Source organism: Homo sapiens, chromosome 3 (assembly GCF_000001405.40).
Source record: "Homo sapiens chromosome 3, GRCh38.p14 Primary Assembly".
Taxonomy (NCBI): Eukaryota; Metazoa; Chordata; class Mammalia; order Primates; family Hominidae; genus Homo; species Homo sapiens.
In genome coordinates, this window is record NC_000003.12 from 60256281 (window position 1) to 60271379 (window position 15099).

Sequence of the window (15099 nt, forward strand, 5' to 3'; positions counted from 1 at the left end):
TTGGATATCTCATCTTCCCATGTCTCTTATCATCAACCTCAAGCTCCCCAAATTTCCTTGCTCTCACTAAATTTACCCATTTTTCTCAAGCCTTTTAAGATTTCTTAGAATCCAGAACTGTAAGCAATAAATATTTGTTGTTTCTAAATCACCCAGGCTAAGGTATTTTGTTATAGAAGCAGGAACTGACTGAGGCAAAATGTTATCTTGCTTAATTCAGAAGACAGACCCTATGGTTACGCCATTTTGTAGATGAGCTAACTAAGGCTAAGAGAGGACAGGTAACTTGCCTGAGGTTACACAACTAGGCAGAAGCCAAATCCAAATACCAGTCAAGCACTAGCCACCAGGCTCTCCTTTCTCATCTCCCACTTCTAATCAATTGATAACTTTGGTAGATCCCACCTTGGTTTAGTACCTTGCATCCACACCTCTGTGCCATCCCAGCACCATCATAATTCTAATCATACATTTCAGTATGATTGGTCAGGTGCAATAGTCTCCTAATCTCCTTAATATCTCTAGTTTCTTTCTCTTCAACACAAATTTCCACACTCTATGATCTTACTAATATTCAGCTCCCATCATGTTCTTCAGAAAAAGAAAAATGTGTGGAACCTACGCAATGTCTAGGTCTGTTCAGTGTCTTCAAGGTATTTTACAACTCTGTTACATTACAGGTAACTAATAGTAATGCAAAATATTAAGACATGCAAATTATTTCCTGTTTGATACAGGTTTACTTTGACCTCCTTCCTTCCTGCCACCTGGAGGAAGAAAACAGCTTTGCCTCCATTTTCACACACATTTCAATATTCCTGTTTTATAAACATGCCTGTTGTTTGGATTATCTTTTAAACCAGTTATATCATCTGCAGCTTCCCTTGTGAATTAAATAAAATCTTTAACACAGGTTCATTTCTGTATCTGTCTGAGAGTTATGACTTAACCTATTGCTGAAAATGTTCTTCTAACATGTTTAGCTCCTAACAGATCCTTGCTCTAAAACCTTCAATGGACACCAGTTGCCAAATGAATTAAATCCAGAAACGTTACCCTGGAATTCAAAACTAAGAGTATCATCTACTCTGTCAGTCATATATTACACTGCTTGTCCATTCACATCCTGCATGGACAATAAAAGAAACTCCGTGGGTGCCACACATTTCACTCTCCCAGTTTTCTTCCTCTGCTGATGCTACTCTTTCACCCTGGATTGTGGCTTTTCATAGAGTGTTCAACATAATAGCTGCTGTGGATGCCCTAACCCATGCTTCTCAAACATTTCACAGTAGTAACATGGCATAGGGATTAACATTTGCTTCACTGAAGTAGGGGAGCAGGAGGAGGACAAGGAAGGTGGAGGTAAAGTAGACTGCTACAAGCAGAAATTTCTTTGATGTCTCATGCTTTAGCTCAAAAATATATGCAGATTAAAAAGGAATGAGATCATGTCCTTTGCAGTGACATGGATGAAACTAGAGGTCACTATCCTTAGCAAACTAACTCAGGAACAGAAAACTGAATACCAAATGTTCTCACCTGTAAGTGGGAGCTGAATTATGAGAACAAATAGACACATGGCGGGAACAAAACAAACTAAGGCCTGTCGGAGGGTCAACGGGGAGGAGAGAGAATATCCGGAAGAAGAGCTAATGGATGCTGGGCTTAATACCTGGGTGATGGGTTGATCTGTGCAGAAAACCACCATGGCACATGTTTACCTATGTAACAAACCTGCAATCCTGCACATGTAACCCTGAACTTAAAAGTTGGAAATTAAATACACACACACACACACACACACACACACACACACACCTCTGCAGATTTTGTACACACTCCATCATATATCAGCAGGGGCTTTTGTGAAAAATAATATTGCCACCTCCAAATATTACAATAAAATTTCCCTTCCTGGCAGGTGACTAGTCTGTGGTGTTGTACATCCCATGAAACACTCTGTGACAACGTTCAACTTTACCTGAGCCCTGTGCTCCCAGAAAACCAGAATTAAGAAATCTTCAATCCTTTCTGTAAGATCCCATCTCCATCGTTCCTCAGGATTCCCTTGTTTAGCGGCCTCTCTAAAACTCCAGGCCCACTTCCTCTTCTTCAAAATGTTCTACCATAATTAATGCTCTCCCTGTAGCAGTATCCTAAATAAAATCACCTCCTTAACTGTCCAGTGCATTATATCTTTGACATATGGCATCCCTTCTTTGAAAAGTCCATGATTTTAGATGGTGCTTCCTAAGATTATTACTTTAAAATATTAAATTGTGATAGTAGTATAGGGGAAAAATATATTTTCCTCACTCACCACTAAGTTCATGGCTGAGGCACCTATAACAAAAGGTAGATCAACAAGGAAAAAGCATATAAATCTATTGAATGAATTTTACGTGACATGGGAGCCTTCATAGGAAAATGAAACCCTCAAAATAGGGAAGCCTGTGTCTTTTTCTATGTTGGTTTGATGGAAAAGTGGATAGTAATGAAAAAGTATTATTGGATGAAAAAATATGATCTAATGGTAATAAGCTGGGAGGGACTTTGGAAGGCCTGTTTGCTAAATCTTCTTTGTGTCCCTGTATCTTCAGAGATAAGGATGTTCCCTTTCTCCAGATCTGTGGAGGGTACCTCTTGAATGAGGGTCTTATGAGAAGGGGAAGGGGAAGGGGAAGGTAAAAGAGATCTTCCTGCTTCTGCTATGTTCTCAAATATCAAGATGCCATATTTTGAAGTCATGTGTCCTGAACCCTATTCAGTTAAAAAAAAAAAAAAGACCTACCTTGATGTGGTTCCGAAAGATTTTTTTCACCTGTCCCCATTTAAAATGACTACCAAAGTTATAGCCGTCAAAACTACATAGGAATCTCTGCAGCAGGCCAGGAATTGCTGAGGTAGAGAAATAGAAGAAGTGGGCAGAGACCTTTCCTATCACCCTTAAAATATCTGAAAACTAAAACTACTGGAAATAGACACTAGTTTTCATTCAATCTTTCTTTCAACAAATGTTGCTCAGACATAGCAGATGAGCGGCTGGGTACTGGCTATACAATCTGTTCAGGGGAAAGCTATGGAATCTTGATTAAAACTTTGAAATCCAAACCACAGATAAGATGAAAAGGAAGAAGATGAGTAGTGGGTGTGGAGAGACCTTCAAAGCCGGAAGGCTACAAAACATCAAAACATTCTGAGGACAGGATGGGAAGACCTTAAGTTATGGCAACTGCAAATAATAATGGCTTACATTTGTTTTAAGGGAGTATCTTAAAATATTCAGGAACTAAGCTTAGTAATTTACATTCATCACCTTGCTAAATCCTTAGAGTAACTCCAGGAGCTAAGTACTATTATTATCCCCACTTAACATAAAAAGCAACACAGCCTCAGAGAGGTTAATTAACTTGCCCAGGGACTTGCAGACAGTAAGTAGCTAGGCTGCCCAACTCAAAATCATGTTTCAATAATGCACCCCAAGTGCTGTTACCATGGGTTTTCTAGAAAGGGTATCCAATATAAATTGGAATCCAGAGTGAGGTGGAGAAAGAGTAAAGAGTGGGTCAGATTTCCTATGCCAACTCAGGGAGTGTGAACTTCACCCTGGCAATGGGATGACAAGGAAATAATTCAAGGGAGGGAAAGCAAGAGGCTGGGACCTAGCAATGGATACCCCTGTACCACTGGGCCCCTTCCAGAGCATGAAAATGAATGAGAATAGGGTAGAATACAACCACAGGCTCAAGTGTCTCAATAACCACAAGGTCAGAAAGGATTTGCTTTAAGGCAATATTTAAACGCCAGTGAACACTCAGGTCTGAATTCTGTGCATCTAACCACTACAAGTTAGAAGAGAAAAAAATATTAGTGTTCTTAAGGAAGATCTAGCAAAACCATCCTTCCAGTTCTAAGGGCCGTAGAGGGTGTAGGAGGTTGGTTCACACTTCAGGGTGTACCAATTAAGTATGATGACTGCAGCAAAATAGTGAGTAACACAGCTAGATATTTAAAAGCCTCAGTTACTGGATTCCTGCCACTGCAGGAAACTTCTGTCTTGACTAAATTTAAAAAAAAAAAAAAGAAAAAAATAGTGTCAGGAGAAACAAAGTGTAAAATACAGAACTTATTTTTCTTCCTGCCAGGTGTAAGCGTTAAAACTTGGCGTATTCACTATTGTTTAGAAGTTTGAAAACTTTTAACAAAACAATAGAACACAGAAGTGAAAAAGTGATTGTTGGGGCTTTAGACTTAACACAAAGCTTTTGCAAATAAATGCCTCTATAACCTTAATGAATTCTAATAAAATATATTATGCTATTTTTTTCTTGTATCTGTCAGAGGTGTTTGAACCAGAGCAACTCTATCTTGAATAGCGGCTGGGTAAAATAAGGCTGAGACCTACTGGGCTGTATTTCCAGGAGGTTAGGCATTCTAAGTCACAGACGAGATAGGAGGTTGACACAAGGTGCAAATCACCTGATAAAACAAGATGCAGATGCGTAAAGAAGCTGGCCAAAACCCATCGAAACCAAGATGGTGATAAAAGTGACCTCTGGTTGTCCTCAATGCTCATTATATGATAATTACAATGCATCAGTGTGCTAAAACACACTCCCACCAGCGCCATGACAGTTTACAAATGCCATGGCAAAGTCTGGAAGTTACACTATATGGTCTAAAAAGAGGAGGAACCCAACCCTCAGCTCCGGGAATTGCCAACCCCATTCCCGGGAAAGTCATGAATAATCCACCCCTTGTTCAGCATCTAATCAAGAAATAATTATAAGTATTTTCAGTTGAGCAGCCCAAACTGCTTTCCAAATAAACTTGCTTTCACTTTACTTTTTGGAATACAAAAGTATTTTGGAATAAAAAAAGTACTTATCCCTTTACTTTCCTAATAAAGTTGATTTCACTTTACTCTTTGGACTCACTCTGAATTCTTCCTTGCATGAGGTCCAAGAACCCTTTCTTAGGCTCTGGATTGGTACCCTTCCCAGTAACATATCCACGACAGGTGAGAAAAGAAAAACAAAAGACATATATATCATATTACATCCTACCTAAGATGGTACCAATCGCAAGGAACGTATTAATTTCAGAGACGGTGAGTATTAGAATCATCAAAATACACTATAATTATCACATTCATGAGTCCTGTTGATACATTTATTTTACTGTCTAAAATTCAGGAGTTTATGGTAAGGGAGTCTATTTGTAAGAGACCCTGTTGATTTTCACAAGTCAAGAAACAATAAACTTCAAGACATACTAAAAAGAAACCAGCCTGATGTCAGATCCTCTTCAACATAGAAACTATCCTCATAGTAAATTAAATTGAGGAAATATTTAATGGATAAGCTTGACTTTGTAAACGTGCCTTCCTGACCAATAGGTACGTTACTGATGACGTTCAGGACACCCCACTTTGGCACTGGAGGAAACAGCAGAAGCAAGAAGGTCTCTTGGACCTTCTTCCTGCCCTTCTCCTCTGAAGCAGACTATACAGTAATTCTCTGACCTCTGCAGTACATCATTAAGACTCCCATTTCAGAGGTTCTCTCACTGTACCTGGAGAAAAGGAACATCTCTGTCTCTCTGAAGACAAAGGGACACAGAAGAATCTGAACAAACAGGCCTTCCCAAGTCAGCCCAGTTTATTACCATTAGACCATAACCTTTTATCCTCCTATAATATTTCTCCCCTACCATCTACTTTATCAAACTGAACATTAAAACATGTACATTTCCCTATGTCTTTGGGTCTTCATTTTGGAATGATCCTGTGTCACATAAAACTTATGTTAAATAAAGTTGTATGTTTTTCTCCGGTTAATCTGTCTTTTGTCATAGTGTCTCAGTCATGAGTCTAGTGACAGATGAAAAATCTTTTGTCCCCTACAGCATCTATGAAGATCCAAAGAATGTCAAAGTATAATTTTTAAAAAGTTACAAACATTGCTTTTAGATAAATATAAAGCAAACATATCAAAATGAATTTCTTAATGAGGGAACCAGTAGCATGGTGTATTCATACAAAAAGAATTAAAGAATCTAAGTACAAATAGGCCCTGACAATGTCAAACTTTACCTGAGCCCTGTGCTTGCAGAAAAGTGATGGTTAACAACCACCCCTACAAACCTTTTGAAAATTAAAGGCAAAACATCCCCACCCTTTTTGGTTCTGGGAAATGGCTGCTGAAGAGAACTACCCTTCCCCAAATGACTTAGATATGACTATTCTTACTCTATCATAATTTTCACAAAATGTGCAGACCACCCCTTTTGTTTACCTGTAACAAGGCCAGAAAGAGACCCAACCCTTTTTACCTCTAGCCAATTTCCCACTCTGTGGCTCAGGATTGATTAGCTAAGATTAGAACTCTTTTTACCCCTAAAACTGCTAGACGCTGAAATAAACATTTCCTGTTCAGCTAACTGACTGAAATTCCCTGACGGCAAAACAATCCCAGCTGTGAATCTCTTACCTAAAGAGTTAACCAAATAAACTCTTTATGTGGTTAGGTACTTTATATGACTTAGTACATATAAAGTACAAAGAAAAAAAGATAAAAAAAAAAGACTTGGATTTGAAGAACAAAGAACTTTAGTTCTTTGAAAGGCACAGTTTAGGAAATAAAAAGCCAAGTCACAGACTAGAAGAACATATTTTTAATGCAAATACTTAATAAACGACTTATATCTAGAATAAAAAATAACTAATATCTCAGTAAGATAGTCAACCCAATTAAAAATGAGCAAAGTACCCAAAATGACATCGTACAAAAGAAAACATAATTACAGGAAAAAAATGCTTATCATTAGTCATTAGGGAAATGCAAATTAAAACCCAAATGAGATACTGCTACACAGCTAAATAGAATGGCTGAAATAAAAAGACTGACAATATCAAGTGTTGACAAGGATTGGCAGCAATTAAGAACTTCCAAATGTTGATGGTAGAGTGAAAACTGATATAACCATTTTAGAATACCACTGGCAATTCCTTGTAAATTTGACTTTAAATATAGCATGTGACTCAGTAATTCCACTTGTAGGTATGCATCCAAGAAAAATGCAAACATATTCTCCAATAGACTCATCTATGAAAAATTATAGCTTTCTTCATAATAGCCATAAAGTAGACACAACCTAAATGTCCACTATCAGATGACTTAACAAACTGTAGTATAATCATGCAACAATACTACTCAGCAATGAAAAGGAATGAACTGTTGACACATGCAGTAACAAGAAGGAGAAAAGGCCCCAGGAACAAAAAGATACATGCTACATGATTCCATTTATACAAAATACTTAAAAAGCCAAACCTAATCTATAGCATCACAAAGCAGATCAGTGGATGCCTGAGGCCAGGGGTGGTAGAGAGGAGGTGGAATGCAAAACTGTGGAAGAAACTTATTGATTTGATGACAGTATTCTACAGTAATCCACAGTGTATGTAAATTTTATGTGTGTTGCTGTATATAAATGATATCAAAAAATTAAAACTAAAGAAATAAAGTCTTTAGCTTAAATGCATCTTTCAACAAGTTCTTCATTTGCAATCTAGCTTATCACATTAGAATAATTGGCAGTCTCCTAGGAAACTGGTCTGGAGAAAGTGAGTGTTTTTTTTTTTAAATGAAAAGATTTTAGATTTACGTTGAGAATTTTACCAATCATCTTAAATATTTTTCCTTTGAATCTATTTGATCTGTTCAAATTAAACTTGTTATGTCCTGAGGTGGTTAGCTAAGGGTACCATCAACAAAGTATGTGGCATCAGCTTCCAGTGAATTCCCCAAAGTGGGGGAGAAAAATATTAGAGATGGATCCAAAGAGAAAGCCTTTCACCAAAATCTCCATTCAGCCTTGCTTTTCATCACTTAAATCCTAGAAGAAAATGTTCTCTGAGGACCACTCTGTATGTAGGAGTAGCCTGATGAGCAAACATAATACTTCTCAAGTATAGACATGATAAAGCAGCAAAGTCAAAACCATGGACAGATTCAAGTCATAAAAGGATTTTGAATACATTTAGCCATGCACTCACTGATAAAGCCTTCCTACCAATAGTTCAGCTCATATTACATATAACAAGGACCAGTAGCTAGAAAAGCTAAAGCTTAAAAAGAAAAAATTATCACAGTGGAAAATTATCATTAGAAATACTCAACTTAAGAAAAGACTTGAAAACCTCTTCTGTACACACAGCACTTTATCACTATAAGTTACTGGTTCTATTATCTTATTTAATCCTAATAACACTAACAATAATACATTAAGAGAGTTAATAGAGAGTTAATATAAAAGCACAATAGAGCAAACACTGCATATAGAGCATTTAGAAGTCCTTCGAAAGCCTCTGCTAGGAATGGCTTCAAAACCCAGGGAGTTGAATGTGGACTCTCCTTTTCTCCTTTCTTTTATTTCAGTGGTTCTTGAATGTTCAAGTACATATCAATATATCAAAACCATGTACTCATTAATGAGCCACTTAAGGAAGGAATTTTTAAGGCAATTGTGATGAAATGCGACTTTCACCTCACTGTTTCTCAATCTTTTTTTCATCATCATCCCTGCAAGGAGCGTTTTCTAATTGCCCCCCTGAAATTTTAATACCACAGATTTTCTTTATATCCTTATACGTATTGTCTCTATGTCTGCGCTTTACACATAAAAAGAATGACTTTTTATTGCTCCCAAGAATTAATTTTCACCGGCTTGGGGGTGATATCACTCCCACTGAGAATGCACGACCTAACCTGGACCTCTAGCTTAATATGAACCTCTCCTGTTTATCTTCAATGGCTCCTTTCAATGAAAAGTCTACATCCCAGAGCCTTCTTGGTTGAAGCATATCTATTAAAGTTTGTTTTCTTTATACCAAGTTTTTCCCAACATTTCTGCTGAAGTACACAATGATAGTGGAGAAGGAACATACATGCTGAAAATGAAAAACATATATAGACATATTTAGCAAGCAGGAAATGTATTTGAGCTCTGATATCTTAAAACATTAAGCAAACAGAGAAAGAGTAGTCTTTTTAAGAGATGGTCCTTGGACAAGTGGATATCTACACACAAAAGAGTGGAAGGCTCCTACTTCATAGAATATATAAAAATTAACTCGAAATAGATCAAAGACCTAAGAGTTTAAAGTATAAAACTTAGAAGAAAACATACATGTAAACCTTCATGAGTACGGATTACACAGGGGTCTCTTAGCTATGTCAGCAAAAGCACAAGCAACGACAGCCACAACAAAGAAAAAATATATATAAATTAGACTTCATCAAAATGTAAAAGTTTGTATTTTGAAGGACATCATTAATAAAGTGAGAAGACAATCAAAGAGGAATGGGAGAAAATATATGCAAATCACATATCTGAGAAGGGACTTGTATCTAGAATATATAAAGAACTTTTTCAACTCAATAATAAATAGATGATTCAAATTTTTTAAATGGGTAAAGGTTTTAAATAGACATTTCTCCAAACAAGATACTCAGATGGCCAATACGCAAATGAAAAGATACTCAGCATTAAAAGCCATCAGAGAAATGGTGATCTAAACACCATGAGTCACCATTTGGCACCCACAAGGTCACCTATAACTAAAAAAAAATTAATAATGATGGGGAAAAATCAGAACCCTTACATCTTGCAGGTGATCATGTAAAATGATGCATCTAATTTATTATATACATAAAGATAGTATATATAAAGGTATATATATTACCCAGCAATTCCACTCCTAGTTATACACCCAAGAGAAATGAAAACATATGTTCACACAAAAGTTCTATATGAATGTTTATAACAGCATCATCCATAAAAGCCTAAAAGTGGAAACACCCCAAATTTCCATTGATGGATGAAAAGATAAATAATGTGGTACACGCATACAATGGAATATTATTAGCAATAAAAAAATAAAGTACTGAGACACATTACAGCATGATGAACCATGAAAACATTATTCTAGCTGAAAGAAGCCAGTCACAAAAGACCACAACTGTGTGATTTCATTTATAGGAAATGTCCAGAACAGGCCAAGATATAAAAACATAAAATGGAATCATAATGCCCAGGGCCGCGGAGGGGGCTTCATGAGAAACAGAAATGACTGCTAATGCATCTGGGGTTTCTTTTGGTGGTGATGAAAATGGTCTAAAAATGACTATGGTGATAGTTGCACAATTCTGATAATGTTCCGAAAACCACAGAATATACACTTTAAATGGGTGAATGGTATGCTACATATATTATATCTCTCTAAAGATGTTTGAGCAGGGGAAGGGAAAGGATTAAGGAGGAGTTAGATCCTCAGATCCCATCTCCCACTCCTGATAGCCAGGAGATTGCGACACCCCCTCATCCTGGCCAGTGACTTAAGCTTTGTTCCTGTAGAGAGTAAAATAGAGGGTCTCTGACATAGAGTACCCCAGCAAAATGAGAGAGCAGGGCTGCAGGAGAGATGTCTCTAGGAAGATGAAAGTGCCAGAATACCAGAAGTGCATGAACATCTTGAGAAGGTATTTAGACAACCAGTGAAGACTTTGGGGGCTAAGACAGTGATAAGTATTTACAAAACCAAGCAAATTAAAAAACAAGAAAATTATTACATCCAGAGAAATCAAAAGTCAGGCAGGATAGAAAGTGTGATGGTAGTTTACTCCACACTTCAGCTTTAGATGACATTTCAATACTGTACTAATATGAATATTAATTTCATCAAATTTGCAGTAAAATTACATTGAGATAAGGGACAGAAGAAGAGCGTGTGCAATAGAAGTGAAGGGAAGACTAGTGATATTAGTTATGTTCTCTGCTTCCATAGTGCAAAATCAATAGAAAGAGCTTGAAATGTAAAAAATAAAAAAGTATACATATTACTTAGAGATACAGAGATAAATACTAAAATAATCAGTTTAAAAGAAATGAGGGAGAGGAAGGAGGGACAATGTAGGGGTTTTGAATTATTTTTTAGTAACAAGCCTTATAGGGCTACATGAGGTCACATATACACACACACACAATAAATGGGAAATGCTTGCAAATTGCATAATGTAATGAAAATTTTCAAATACTTTATAAAAATACCATGGAAAAATTATGCTATTATAAGAAATGTTATGTGAATTGTGTTCTCAATAATATGATTTTTGTCATAATACAAAAATATTTTAAATTACTCAGTAGGTAAAGTATTTAACTTTGTTCTCAAATAAGCAAAATTCCTCAAAAGATGCAGCATGTTTATCCTAGGTCTCCACGGGCCTCTGAACACAATAGCAATTACCACTATAAAATCCCAGTCTGAGATTTTGTGCTTAACATATGACCGTTCTTCCACACTTAGCATTTTCTACTGTATACATCATTAATTCGTTTAGTAAATATTTAAGCATTTACTAATGATCAATTCAAGTAAAATAAAAATATCTGATCTAGGACTGATCCTAACAAATTAGTTTTCTGGAATTATATTTTTTCTAGATTGCTGATCACCACGTACATGAATACAAAACTATTTATTGAAGATGTGTGATATTCAGCCTAAATCTTGTAAAACTTGGACTTGATAGTCTAAGAAGCTATTATGTGCACACATATTTGAAGGACATTTTTAAAAGTGCTAAACTATAAATATTCTGATTCACTGCTCTCTTACATGCACTAAAAATGACTTCGTGCAATCACTAACCAGGAGGTAGGTTTTGTATCTTACTGAAAATGTCACTTAATAAATAACCTTCAAATTTAAATGCAAACTGTGGATATCATTCATAGAACCTCAAACTTGCCCTTGAAGTCTAAATGGGCAAACAAGGTAACTACAAAAAGCTTTTCAGGCGTTAACACCCTACTGCTTCAACTCCTTGAAAAGCAGTCTGAACTTTTGAGTTTTTAGCATAATATTCTTATGCTGAATAATCTCTATCTCCTATAGCATTTAGGCTGAGGACGTTAAGTATGATGTACTGTTGGGATAATTTGCAATTTTCACTTCTCATTCTCAGATTAGATTACTAACAGTGTTGGAGGAAATCACTTTACTGCATAGTTCATTCATAGCAGTTCATTTGTCTATTCAAAACCTGATGTCTTGTTTATGGCTGTATATCCTAATGTGTTGCATTAAGGTGTTAACAGAACTAGTTGCAACCCTAAAATTGGACTAGGCAACATGACTTGGGACTGGCACAGTCAGAGACCAGGAAGCTGGACATTTATTGAGTAAGAAGAAAGGGAAATTTTGAGACAGAGAATTTGCAATTATGTATTATTTACATTATGTGAAGTTGACTTTTTCATTAGCCAGTATACATCCTTGATTGTGACTGCTATATATAGTTTACTTTTATATCCTCCATAGTATCTGTGTTCACAGTAGGTGTAGGTGTGGTCGACAGAATCCTGGCCACCTATAGATGTCCATGTCCTAATACTCAGAACCTCTGAATATGCTTACATGGGAAAGGGGCATTAAGGTTGCAGATGATGAAGGTTGCTAATCTGCTGGCCTTAAGGCAGGGAGATGATCCTGGATTATCTAGGTGGGCCCAACATAATCACAAGGGTCCTTAAAAGATGGAAGAGACAGGCTGAAGAGAAGGTCACAGTGATGAAAAGTGAGAAGTCAACCTGCCCTTTCTGGCTTTAAAGATAGAGGAAGGGGCCATGAGAAGCTGGAAAAGTCAAAGAAACAGGTTCTCTACTAGAGCTTCCAGAGGAAACACAGCCCTGCTGACATCTTGATTTTAGCCCAGTGAGAGCCATTTAAGACTTCTGGCCTCCAGAGTTGTTAAATGATTTTATTTTTGTTGTTTTATGTTACTAAGTTTTCAGTAATCTGTTATGGAAGCCATCAAAAACTAGTAAATGATTAATTTAAAACTTTCAAAGTAAAAAATAAGAACTAAGAAGAACACCTAAAGGAATAAGTATGAGCCATCAAGATATTTTCAGTTTTCTACGTCTTTAACCTTATTGGGAACCTTTGGTTGATGTAGTTAATCACTGGAGTTTTCCTGTCCATTCATTTGAAATCTAGAATTTCTTTCCATTTGAAATAGTTTTCTTTTACTGACCAGAAGCTAAACTGTCCTGGATCACCTGCTGGCTGTTCTTTTGAGAAATCTTGGTATTTTCCAGTGAGTTATGACTGCACTATGGGATACTACTTCCTGAGAACACAAAAGTTGCTTTAGCTTATCGCTTTAGGCAGATATTTTTGCCTCAGTTATCTTTTAGCTGTGTATGACTTAAACACAAAAATTTTAAAAATGTGGGAGTGCAAAGAAATATCTTTTGAGGTAGGCAGTCTTTTATCTATTTCTCCATTCAACCAGCATTTGCTAAGCATTTAAAATATCCTAGCATTGAGCCAGGCATTGAGTATGTGAAGACTGAACAACACAGGGTCATTTTCTTCAAGAAGCTCACAGTCTAGTGAAGCAGATAGAAATGTTGGAACAAATAAGAGTTTAAGAAAGGAATCTGTAAGTGTTACAGGAACTTTGAGGGAGAAATGTCTAACTTCATTTTAAAAAACTGCCATTTCGGTTCATAAAAAATGGGGAGTTACACCCCTATGGGTGAACATTTGCTGACCTTGTAATTAGTTATAAACTCATGGGTTGGTTAGAAGATTCTTTTAAGTATCTATTCAGGCCCATAGCTTTCTCTGAAAATGACCAGGCCTCATACGACGCCAGAACTAACATGACCAAGGGGGTGTATCTGACTCTACACTGGGCCAGCCAATCAGATTCTCAGTCCAGAGAATTTGGAATTAGAATTCATGGGATGAGGTTGTATCTGTTGTGACAGCGAAGTCAGGTGACAGAGACTCAGTGGTCTAAGAGACCAGGCCACGCAGGCGCATGGAGCCCCAGCACAGAAGGCAGCAAACAGAGAAAAAGAAGGCCAAAGCACAGACTCCGACCACAACTGCAGTTCTTGCTTGCCTCCCCCAGTGAGGCTTTGTTGCCCTCTCTCTTTCCTGCTGCAGTGAGAGACACATTTGTGTCCTTCACATACAATCCCTATTTTGGTTAAAGTTACTTTGAGTTTCTATTACTTGCACAGTGACATGGTTCTACCTTTTTAAAACAGATTCCACATTTTCACCAGTCCATTTGCCTCAATAACCTTACCTGCAATATGGGAAGAGGAAAGCAGTTTCCTTTCAGGGAAAAGGCAGTAGAACTCATAAAAGATGTTCAAGTATAAAAGCACTTGGACTATAAATTATCATACACATGCAGAAGATTGAAATCTGTAACTGGTTATGAAATATTGTTCACAAATGACCCCTATTAAAAGCCAAATGGAAGGATTTTCCAGCAAAAATGAGGTAGGAAAAAAGCTCAAATAAAAATGGGCCAAGATTCTAGGCAGAGCTCTAATATTCAGTTTCAGAGATTAGTTCGGCTTTGGCCATTTCCAAGTGTGAAAGAGGGATGGGGCGAAGAAGGTAATGGCAAAAAGAGAAAGAATCTACAAAGAACCATGGGGAGGAACACCGGCAAGGATTTTATCCTTCCAGAGAAAGCCATATCTGCTGTTAAAACACAGTGCACAGCAGACTGACAATGATCTTCTTGCAATAGGTCATAGAAAGGGCATTAAAAGACAACTTTCAAAGGTCTCAAACTAGATAAACCGAAATCAGTAATAGAGGACTTATGCTGGACCTATAGGAGATTTTCTTCCAGGTGACTATTACCAGAGGAATCTACATAACAGTGGACTGCTGCTATTTGGGGGCTAACTTCTGCTGCCCACCTTTGAAGTCACTAATAGCTTGTTAGCACAGAAGCCACGCTCCGTGGCTCACACCTATAATCCCAGAACTTTGGGAAACAAAGGTGGGCAGATCTCTTGAGCTCAGGAGTTCAAGACCAGCCTGGTCAACATGGTGAAACCCTGTCTCTCCAAAAAAAACTACAAAAATTAGCCAGGCATGGTGGCTCACATCTACACTCCCAGCTACTCAGGAGGCTGAGGCAGGTGAATCGCTTGAACCCAGGAGGCAGAGGTTGCAGTGAGCTGAGATCCCGCCACTGCACTCCAGCCTGG

General features: G+C 37.3%; 1 protein-coding gene and 1 long non-coding RNA gene across 8 annotated transcripts in view; both read right to left on the reverse strand.

Annotated features, from left to right (window-relative positions):
- FHIT (fragile histidine triad diadenosine triphosphatase) overlaps nucleotides 1-15099 on the reverse strand; it is a 1504176-nt gene that overhangs the window by 509004 nt on the left and 980073 nt on the right. The window lies entirely within an intron of this gene.
- Nucleotides 1-15099, reverse strand: part of LOC107986015 (uncharacterized) — a 100472-nt gene continuing 85373 nt past the window's right edge. For both annotated transcript variants that reach the window (XR_007095935.1, XR_001740433.3), the window contains one exon: nucleotides 1-15099. This exon is cut by the window's right edge and continues 54621 nt beyond it. This is a non-coding gene — a long non-coding RNA (uncharacterized LOC107986015).